The sequence below is a fragment of the Homo sapiens genome, chromosome 5 (assembly GCF_000001405.40).
Source record: "Homo sapiens chromosome 5, GRCh38.p14 Primary Assembly".
NCBI lineage: Eukaryota > Metazoa > Chordata > Mammalia > Primates > Hominidae > Homo > Homo sapiens.
The window spans coordinates 67,792,276-67,803,643 of NC_000005.10; the positions used below are offsets into that span (position 1 = coordinate 67,792,276).

The following is an 11,368-nucleotide window of genomic DNA, read 5'->3' on the forward strand; positions in this document are numbered from 1 at the left end:
AGATAATGTGAGTTCTTCTATCAGCCTCTATTTCACCATTTTGTACTTTACTGGGTTGTCTGTGCTCTCTCGTCCTGTGTCCTATGAGAACTGCCTGAAGACAAAGCTTGAGTGCATTTTATTCACCATGAGTATATGTATGCGGTGTTGCTAAATGAGTGAGTGTTTGAGTGAATGAGTGAGTGAGTGAATGAATCCTGAGTAGCTAGTCCTTGGTCAATTCTTTCCTTTGAACAATACAAGTTCTCTAACCTCAACTCTTCTTCTTTGTTCTGAGATTGGCCTTTTGCCCCAAATAACTTTTCAGCTATTGGCTCTAAATCTCAGTTTCTGCATGTTCATTCTTAGTCTGAGCCTCCCCTTAATTACTGCACTTTTTCCTGCTTCCATCATGGTGGATGTCCATATAGGATGGACATGCACATAGAACGTTTGTGAAAAATCCAACATTAAGATAGGAAACATTTGTTCTCAGAAAGTTTTCAGGTTAGACACTCTAAATTCTACCATTATTAGCACATTGGGATGAGGGTCGCACCACACTACTTGTGATGCTGTGCAAGACTCTACCAAGTCTCTTTTCAGCTTCAGAGTTGATCAGAAGCCATTAGTTCTGTCTATCTGGGGAACCAGATATCATATTTAAACATGCATCCTGCAGAGCAATTCAGAGAAGAGTACAATGTATCAGTTGAGTACTAAACATTGGCTATTTGTATAATGAAAAAGTACAGAGAGTTCCATTTATGTTTGTCCTTTTATTGAAAATTGCTACAACCTGGTCAAAAAATTCTCTCTGTGTGGCAGGATATCTGCCAGTGAATGAGTCTGTTGAAATCACCACACCAAATTCAACATTAAGGGCCAACCCTGACCACAGCTGAGCCGTGTGAAGAGGCTGACAGCGGCGTGGCCACCACCCAGGATGGAGAGAAAGGCACTGTGAGGTGTTAATGGAAAAATCCAACTTCCTTTTCTTCCAAAGATGATGACTGAAACCAAAGTGGAGCTTTCCCTGTGAGTTTTAAAAGATAACTTTCTTTTTTTTTCAGAATAGAAATATTTACCAGGCTTTAGTATATTTGTCTTTTTATATTCCTCTCTGTATAATAAGTGCCTTTTTAAAACCTCATGTTTGCTTAGCAATAATTACTTCTTTTTTGTTTTGTTTAATGTGAGGGGTTTAGCAGTCACCATATACTGCACTGCACCCTCCTGGTGGTCTGTGTCTGTGTCTTATGACCTGGGAGGCCAGGCATATGGATGGAAACTTAGTACTCAGTAAGTTATAGTAGAATGTCTTAGAATGATGGCACAACATCACCTTCAACAGAGCCCTATGACCTAGGGCCAAAAAATACAACGAGGAGCAGGATTTGATTACAACTAAATTTCCCTTTTGAAGCCAAGGCCTTGTATTTGCACAACTCTTGGTTGATTCTAAAGTTCTTCAATTCCAAAGAAGTCTTCATTTCCTAACATGTTACATAGTAGAAATTCAGCATTGCCTGTCATTCTAATAATTATCATAAACTTTTCTGCACTAAATAGCTGGAGTAAGGAAAAGCCCTGGTTTTTCACCACTGGACCATGATCCTCTTTAAATTATATTTTTTTATTTAAAAATATTGGCTTCAAAAAGCTGCTCTGATACTTAATGTAGCTTTACAATGATAACATTTAAACACATTGACTGGCTTTGTGAATTCAATTAAGCACTCCTGAGTGCATTGCTGCCTTTGTTAAAAACAAGCAAAAACACATCTGACAAGCCTTTTTTTTTCTCTAAGATTCTATTTACCTATTATTGAGACCGCAGAAAACCAAGAGCTAGATAGACTACCCTGGATACCATGATTAATTAGTTACTCAGCGCAGAGTTACTCTATGTAATTTGGTTGATTTTTCATTTGGTTTTCTTTGGAAATGACTTTACTACTCTGAAACAATTCCTTTCAAGCCATTTTTCTTCCTTTTAAAAACATGAGTTCTGTGATTCACCCTGTGTAAGATAAAGGTTGCAGATGCCCTTCATTTATCATGAAATACAATATATTTCTTTTATTTGGGGGGTGAAGCACCCTTAAAGGCTTTGCAAGCTTTTTTATTTTCCTTAAGAGTGAGACACTTCATGATGTGAAGATACTTGCAAACACAGATCTCAACAGGAAAGAATCACTCATTAATCTGTGAAACAGACAATTGGTACTGAGAAATGCGGCTGTTATTAGAACGGATGCCTGTAAAAGTAGAAGCAGCTTTGGAACTGGGTAATGGTAGAGGCTAAAAGCATTTGGAGAATCAGGCTAGAAAAAGTCTGTATTGCAGTGAAGCATTAAGGATGTTTCTGGTGAGGGTTTGGATGAAAAGGAGAATTATAAGGAAATTTGAATTTTCTTAGAGATTACTTAAGTGGTTGTGACCAGAATGTTCGTAAAAATATGGGCAGTTAAAGGCCATCTGATGAAGCCTCAGACAGAAATAAGAAACGAGGTATTGGAAACTAGAGTAAAAGCCATCCTTGTTATTAAGTAGCAAAAAACTCGGTAAAATTGTGTGTATGTTTGAAGGCTTTATAAAATGTAGAACTTAAGAGCAATGACAGAATATCTGCCAGAAAAAATATCTAAGCAGCAAACCATTCAGGCCACTGCATGGCTACTTTTAAACACATATAGTGACATGTGAGAGGAAAAGAATGACTTAAAGATAGAATTTATAATTAAAAGAGAAGCAGAATGGAAAGATTTGGAAAATTCACAGCCTGGCCATGTAAAGAGTGAAAATACATCTTTAGGAGAGCAAATCAAGGGTGTAGCCAAGCAACTATTTGGTAAAGAGATTCCCATGGACAGAGGGGAGCCAGCTGCTATTAACCAAGTCAATGAGAGAAGGACTCTGAAGGCACTTCAGAGCTCTTAGAGGCTGCCCTCCTATCACAGGCGCAGAGCTCTAGGAAGGAAGAATGGTTTCAGGGGACAGGCCCAGGGAACTCTTCGTGGGCTCTCTCCTCAGAGCTTACTCAGGTATCTGCTTCTCCCTGTATTTCAGTGCAGTTCTCCTTGACTGCCCTAGCCAGGGCTCAAGCAGGCCAAGGTATGGTATAGGCCACTCTGGAGCATGCAAGCAGTAATCCATCCTTGATGGCATCCATGTGGTGTTCAGTCTGTAGGTTTGCAGAATGCAAGAGCTTTGGGGGCATGGCTACCTCCACCCAGATTTCAACAGATGTCATGAATAATCTGGGGGCCCCAGGCAGAAACCTGCTGCAAGAGTGGAGTCACCACAGAGAGTCTCCACTAGTGTGATGCCTAGTGGAGCTATAGGATTGGGACGGCCACTGAGACTCAAGAACTGTAGAGCTGTCAATGTGCAATGTTAGCCTAGGAGAGCTGCAAGCATGAGACTCCAACGCCTGACAGCTGAGTGGGCTAAGCCCAGCAAAGGCCTGGGGGTGGGGCTATGTGAGGCCCTGGGGGCTCAATTCCCACCCCAGTGTATTCAGGAAGTGGGACATGGAGTCAAAGGAGATTATTCTCCAGCTTTAACATTTAATATTGTTTTCCCTGTTGGGCTTTGAACTTACTTGAGACTAGTTACGCCTTTCTTCTTGTCTATTTCTTCCTTTTGGAATGGGAATGTCTATCCTACGCCTGTCCTATCACTGTATTTTGAAAGTAGATAACTTGTTTTGATTTCACAGGCTCACAGCTGGAGGGAATTTGCATCAAGATGAATCATGGCTCTAGAACCATGAGCCAAATAAATTTCTTTTCTTTATAAATTACCCAGTCTGTGGCATTCTGTTATAGCAGCAGAAAACAGACAGAGACAGTCATTCATAATCCATTTCACTTCCCTAAATCTTGGGGCGGGGGGTGGTTATTCAATGTCAAATTCTTATTTACCCATGATGACATCAGTGTCTTTGAAAAATTACACTAGATCAGAGGATAAGTTACCAACTCTTCCAAATGTTTGGTTAGAGATCATTGATCAGTAGTTAGGGTTGCATACTGGACATGTACCAGCCTGCTCACTTTATCGCTTTTTCATGCCACCCTCCTCAGCTCAACCCCCTTCAGGCTTTCAGCCACACTGAAAATAAGAATGTGTTCGAGGTGTTTCACCAAGAATCACTTATTCCTGACATCCTGGTAGATCACCCACTTTAGCCAATCCCTTTAAGCTTCTCTTTTTCTTTTTTCTTTTCCTCTTTGGAATGAGTGCCTAACTATGTAATGGTTATTGGATGTATGTAGATTTCCTGAAAGTGTTTCATGTTTTGAATGACGAAGAACATTCTGGGGGATAATATGTTTTAAAAACCAGGGAAACCCGAAAGATCTGGGAGAAGCCACTTAAACTGAATCCCAATTTGAGAAAACTGAAAATAAGAAAAGAGGATTATTTGCCTATAGCAAGTGGAGGATTGAATTTTCTCAAGGAGAGGATTTTTATGCAATTTCCTTGTGGAAAATGATAGGAGATGTAGATGCTTCTAAGATGCCTTCTGCTTTCCACTTAGGTCTAATTTTTTTCTTTAAGCCTGTACATGCAGTCTTAAGATTATTTTTATGATGCAATTAATAGCTATTTAAACACTTTAAGTTGATTCTTTTCAGATATTATTTACTCTAGTCCATTTACATGTGGTAAGTCATTATTTCATTGTGTTTTTTTAGTTTTCGTTTTGTTTTTCTATGGAGATGTTTTTTAAATGAAGAAATTTTAAATGAAAGACTTTAGCCTCTCTTCAAAAGAACAGTAAAAATGAATACTCTCTTTGCTAGGATGCATATGATGGCATGAGTTTAAGTTTTAGATTCTCTGTTGATGTCAAAGTTGCAAACATTTTTTGTATCTGGGCACCATGATGGTATGGCACTCCATCTGTGATTTACTCTACTCAGAGAGGAATGAAGTGTAGTTAACAAGAATCAAACTAATGGAAAACAGGATTTTGGTGTTGCTGGAACATGTAGAAAAAGGTGGAGTCTAAGAAAATATTTCTCTAGCCAAGACAGTATTGAAGAAACTCATTATTTTCCATCTGCTTGTTCCTTGTTCCCAGTGTGAAGTGAAAGCAAAGTTTTAAAATTTTTTCTCCTCTGCAAGAAAATATATTTCAGAAAATCTCTATCTCAAAAATGAAGCAATTAAGAACTGTCTGGCTGTGAGGATCTGGCCTCAACTTGACTTAAAGCAACAACTTCAGTTACATATCAAGATGTGCGTGAGAATGAACCTGCTCTGCTCAGCCAACGTGCTGAGTGACTTGATGTTTGTAATAAATAAATAAATAAACAACAAACAGGTTGTCATGAAATATCCTTTGTAATTATAAACACAGGAAACTTTCTGAGATGCAAGTGGGTGTTAAATGGTTCAGCAAAGCCAAGCCAGAGCAGTTGGTGTGCTTTGAAATGAAGCAACATTGGAAAAATGAAATCTACTGAAAGATCACTACGTGTTTCAAAGGTTTGACTTTTTAAAAATTTTCTTCAGTTTTCTATTTTGAAAAATACAAAGAGGTTTGCATTTGTTTGTTTTTATATAAGCAGCATGTGTAGGCAACCATCTAATATTTGGCAACTTTAAAAATTTTTGAGCAAAAGCAACTGTTTAGGAGTTTAACCATTACTTAAAAAAAGATACATGAAAGTTATTATGTGTATGTTCCTGCATGGTACATAGGAAATTACTAATTGCTAGTTAGTTCAATTTACTTAATTAGGTATTTACTCATTGGCTATTATGTGCCCAGTTTCGGGCTATGTAATATTTTAAAAATTAGCATTATATATGTTGCCCTATCTACACTTTCTGGGGAGCAAAATTTTGAAAATCATTTGATGTGGAAACCCTTTAAAAAGAACTAGATTGCAGCATGTATTCGAATTCAAAATTGATTTTCATCAAGTACTAAAATGTGATACAAGCCAAACAATAGGAATTTTCAGGAATGAGAATGGTTGTGCTGTCAAAAAAGATAAACAATATGGATGACTTATGAATATTTATGTCCTATTAAATTTATTGAATTTTGGAAGGCAGAGATTGCTAAAGCGGAGATAGTTGACAGCAGAGAAGAGCTACCAGTGAATTCACGAATTACATTCTGGATTATTCTTTTTGAAAGAATATATATTTGGTGCATTTGTCATTAGTAAAGTTAATTAATCAGTTAATGTCTTGAAGTAGTAGTAGATTAATCCTTTCTTGATATGCATGATGTATTAGCCTGTTTTCACGTAGCTGATAGACATACAAGAGACTGGGAAACTTACTAAAGAAAGAGGTTTAATTGGACTTACAGTTCTACATGGCTGAGGAGGCCTCACAATCATAGCGGAAGGCAAGGAGGAGCAAGTCACATCTTACATGGATGGCAGCAGGCAAAGAGAGAGCTTGTGCAGGGGAACTCTCCTTTTTAAAACTATCAGATCTCATGAGACTTATTCACTATCACGAGAACAGCACGGGAAAAACTTGCCCCATGATTCAATTACTTCCCACTGGGTCCCTCCCACAACATGTGAAAATTCAAGATGAGATCTGGGTGGGGATACAGCCAACCCATATCACGTGTTATCCTAGTTGTTGCCATAGTCAGTAAGCAACTGTTCTCACTCAGGGCTGTTAATATATAAAAGGTGATATTAGATAGATAGTATTTTTCTACACTTGTTCTCTCTATACTTCTGGCAGAATTACCTTTGTGGGGTCCAGTGTAAAATGAATATAGGGTCATCTTGTTCAAAAATTATTATGAATTTGAAGAGCACTAAACCAAGTATGAGGTCCTTCTAAGCAAGGAACCTTTTGTAACTGCATAAATCTCACAAGTCCCGTGAATCTAGTTCTGTCAATGAGGATAGTCAAATTAGTATAAATGAAAGATGTTTATTTAAGGCAATCTTTAAATCCAGGCACAATCTACTAATGTGCTTATCATAGATGAGTAACCAGTTAATGATCATTAATCATGATAGATATAGACATTTGTATGCATACATTTGTAGAATATTTATCTAGCATTATATTTGCACAAACACATATATGATTAAAATATGTAAAACAGACTTCTGAAAATCTCTAGTATGGTAGCCTTTGCAAGATTAACTAGAAAAAGATGACTTGTCACAATCCACAGATCCTATTATACATCATCCAACAAATATTCTCTGAGTACCTAGTCCATACCAGATATTATTCATGGTGTAAAGATATAGCAGAGAACAAAATAAACAGAGTACTTGCTCCTAGAGGGTTTTCATACTATTACATTTCTGAAATTTTGACTGATTTGCCCAGGCTTTAGTTTGTATTTGTTTGTTTTTTGTTTTTTGTTTTTTTTTTTGGCTAAAACCCCTGTCTTCCTGACTTTATTAAGAACAGAAGCAAAACTTAGCTATTCTTGTCACTGTTTAGAACTGACTAGAACCAGAACTCTTCAGAAAAGAATGTGCTAAAGGTTTGTCCTTGAGAAGTTTCCAAGCCAAGACACTCCTAGGAGCACTTCCCATTGAGGCCGAAAGGCTCATCCACTTACAGCGATTCATGGGAAAAGAGGACAGCACCCTCATCTTTGGTCCAAGAACACAATCCTGAGTGACACAGGATTGCCCTGAAAGTCAACAGCATCCGTCTTACAAAAATCAACAACACTCGCTTTTCAAACTTCCAAAGAATTTACTGGTCTGGTTTGGCCTTTTGGTGCCACATTCCATTCCAGAACCCCAGCTAAAATGTTCTCAAGGGCTGACCAGAGATTCCTCCTCCTTTCTCTGGGCTGGTACAACTTGACCGCTGCTTGACATCAAGGTCAACTGGAGACTGGGAACAGTTATGTAACTGTGTTGTAAATTGAATTAGAGCTGTACATGAGCCCAGACCAAGTAACCAGTGCAGCTCCAGGCAAGAGCAGCAACATGTCCCCCAGAGACAGCATTGGAGGAACAGCTTACTGGGGAATGGAAAAAGGGTATCACAGGGTAAAAAAGAAACCGTCTCTTTCCAGTCCTTCTAAAGTCTGGGCAGTTGGCTGCCCCATCACATGTGGAATAAGAGGGGGGCATTAAGTGCAGAGGGAGCTGGTGTCAGTATGGCAGGCAAACACTGAGGAAAAATCAGCATACATAGTATACACAAAGAGAATGAGAAAAAAATATTTGTAACACCAGAACAGACACCACCCAGATGAAAGAAATAAGAAGGCTTACACGTGGAGAGGAAAAAAGCCTCTGGCAGTGGTCAGTGGACTGTAGAATGAGCAAGAAAGGCATGACCATCCTCCTACCAGTGACTGGTCATTCTGGAGAGGATACATGTGCACAGATCTGGAAAACCAGGGCTGAAAAGCCTTTTGACACCTTTGGTGACCTAGGACATGGTCCCCCAATGTAAGACATCATGCTAGATAGAGGGGAAAATAGTAAGTTTTCTTCAAAGGCAAATGAATACAACTTGAGATAACTTTTGAAAAGAAAAAAGGTACTGGGACCATGGCATGACTTTGATCTGTGCTAACATGACCGCCTGCAGAAGCAGATGAGGAGAGGCAGAATAATGTAAAGCTGAAAGCTTGGAGTCACCAAACCATAGATAGCTTCACCTCTTACCAAGTGCTTGATGTGTGGCTAGGTTCTTAAATCCCCTACAAGTTCCAGCTTCCTCATCTGTAAAAAACGAGCAAGTTAAGACTGGGTGAGTTAATAGATGTAAAAGTACTTAGTACAGTACTCTACAAATAGTAAGTGCCCAATAAATGTTAACTGTTATTATTATGTATTCTGTCCTTCACTATGTTAGGCCCTGGGATGTAGTGGTGACAGGCAAGGCTGCTGCTCTTGTGGTTCTTACATGAAACAAGGGAACAGGGAAATAAACAAAATAAATGCAGACTATGAAAAGTGCTAAAGAATAAATAAATAGAGTAATATAATAGAAGAAAATGCCTCTCTGAGGAGGTGACAGTTAAACTGAGACTTGAGCAATCATCAGGGGCACAGGGTTCCCAGAAGAGAAAAAAATAAGTGCAAACTCCCTGTAACACAAAAAAAAAAGAGCTTACTGTGTCCAAAAATTAAAACGAACCCTAAAGTGGTTTGAGAATAGTAACATGGGCTTTGGTTAGGCTGGAGCTAGGGCTCACCTAGTAGAGTATAGAAAGGCAACACCCCATCTCCTGCAAATCTATTTTCATCCATTAATTTACACGGCATCTGAAGAACATGCTGAATTAAAGCCTGTTAACCCTTGGGATACAGTCATCAAATGTATCAGATATATTGAGATAACCCCAACAGAGGGGATAAGTCTTTACAAAGTAAATCTATGCATTTCAGCATTTCTTACAATTGCCAAAATATGGAAGCAACCTAAGTGTCCCTCAGGAGACGAATGGATCAAGGCAATGTGGTATGTACACAGCGGAATACTGTATAGCCTTAAAACGAAGGAAATTCTGTAATTTGTAATAATATGCATGGAACTGGAAGATACTGTGCTAAATAAAGTAAGCCAAGCACAGAAAGACGAATATTGCATGATCTCATAGGTGGAATCTAAAAAAGTCAAATTCATCGAAGCAGAGAATAGAAAGGTCGTCACCAGATGCTACGAAGTGGGGGGAAAGGGAGGGAAAAGGAAAGATGTTTATCAAAGAGGACAGTTTCAGTTAAACTGGAGTAGTGATCTATTGCAACTGCATGGTGACCAGAGTTAATAATATGTTGTACATTTCAAAATTACTAAAAGAATAGATTTTTAACATTCTCACTACACACACAAAAAATGGTAAGTTGGCGAAGTGGTGATAAAGTGTTAACTAGTCTGATGGAATCTTGCCACAATGGATACATAGATCAAAACATTGCATTGTACCCCATAAACAGACACAACTAGTATTAGTCAATTAAAAATAAATTTAGAAAAAAAGACTGCACTAAAAGAATAAATAAATCTAAATCAGAAGCAAGCCTGAGAATTGTAGGTGAGTAAAGGGTCTAAATTAAATGTGGTGGAGGATATCATAGACATCCTGATTCTGGCATCCTACCATTGTGTTTGCTCACCTAGAAAAAAAAAATAAGCATATCTATTGAAGTATATCATAGTATTAAATACTATGGCACACTGGGAACAGGAATCCTTACTGGGATTCCTTCCTCAGTACCCAGCTAAGCTTAAAACTGGAGTGTCCCCTACTCACTTTATAAGGGCAGTGGCAAGATCTCTCATCCTGAGGCACAGCTATCATGCTCCAGTTCCATCATATTGGGCCCCATTAATTTGCAACTCTGTAAAAGTAGGCTGTCACAGTGAAAATATAGTTGTAAGAATAAAGTTTTAACTTCAGAGATTCCAATATATTGAACTAGCTGGCCAGCACTGGCAAGATGGAAAACCCTGGCTTAGGCACATATGTGTGTATGCTCATAGATTCCTAGAAATAGTTAAAGAGGGATCTGTAAGACTGGTCTTCTCACTGTGAAACAGGTGGGAGTCTAGAACCAATAGACACATTTGTGTATTAATGTTAAAAGGCGATGGGACAATTTAAAATATATCTGTATATTCATACTTGAACTAAGAATCATTAGATGAATAAAAACCATAGGCCATCCAATACCCCTTTGAAGTCAAAGTGATTTTCTAATCTCAATTTCAGTTTTTCTAATTGGACTTCCTAGAAAGTGATAATGAAAGAAGAAAGACTGACATTTAGAAAGTAGACCACAAGCACAGGATCTGAACTCTCAAAGTTCTGAGTTAGTTATACAGAGATGACCAGAATAGGTTGTATTAGACCATTTTCACACTGCTGATAAAGACATACCCGAGACTGAAAAGAAAAAGAAGTTTAATTGGACTTACAGTTCCACATGGTTGGGGAGGCCTCAGAATCAGGCGGGAGGCAAAAGGTACTTCTTACATGGTGGCAGCAAGAGAAAATGAGAAGGATGCAAAAGCTGAAACCCGATAATCGCAGGAGATCTTGTGACATTTATTCACTATCACAAGAATAACACGGGAAAGACTGGCCCCCATGATTCAATTACCTCCCCCTCAGTCCCTCTCACAACATGTGAGAATTCTGGCAGATAGATACAATTCAAGTTGAGATTTGGGTGGGGACACAGCCAAACCGTATCATAGGTATTTACTTTGCTTCTGATAGAAACTCTTCCAACCCTCCACTCACTCCTGTACTTGTTTTCTGGGCACCAAATCTGAAAGGAATTTAACCTATGAGACTGGCTATTTCTATTGCCCTTGCTTTTAAAGTTGCTTCTCTAGGCATCATTTACCAGTTACCCTTGGTCCCCAGACCTCAGTGAGTATGCTTCCCCTCATAAACAAG

General features: G+C 38.6%; 1 long non-coding RNA gene across 1 annotated transcript; it reads left to right on the plus strand.

The window, feature by feature from the left end:
* The first annotated feature begins 937 nt into the window (after nucleotides 1-937).
* Nucleotides 938-8,783, plus strand: LINC02997 (long intergenic non-protein coding RNA 2997). Its single transcript, NR_130779.1, has 3 exons — nucleotides 938-1,017; nucleotides 5,354-5,481; nucleotides 7,435-8,783. It is a non-coding gene; the product is annotated as a long intergenic non-protein coding RNA 2997 (long non-coding RNA).
* The last annotated feature ends 2,585 nt before the right edge of the window (nucleotides 8,784-11,368 follow it).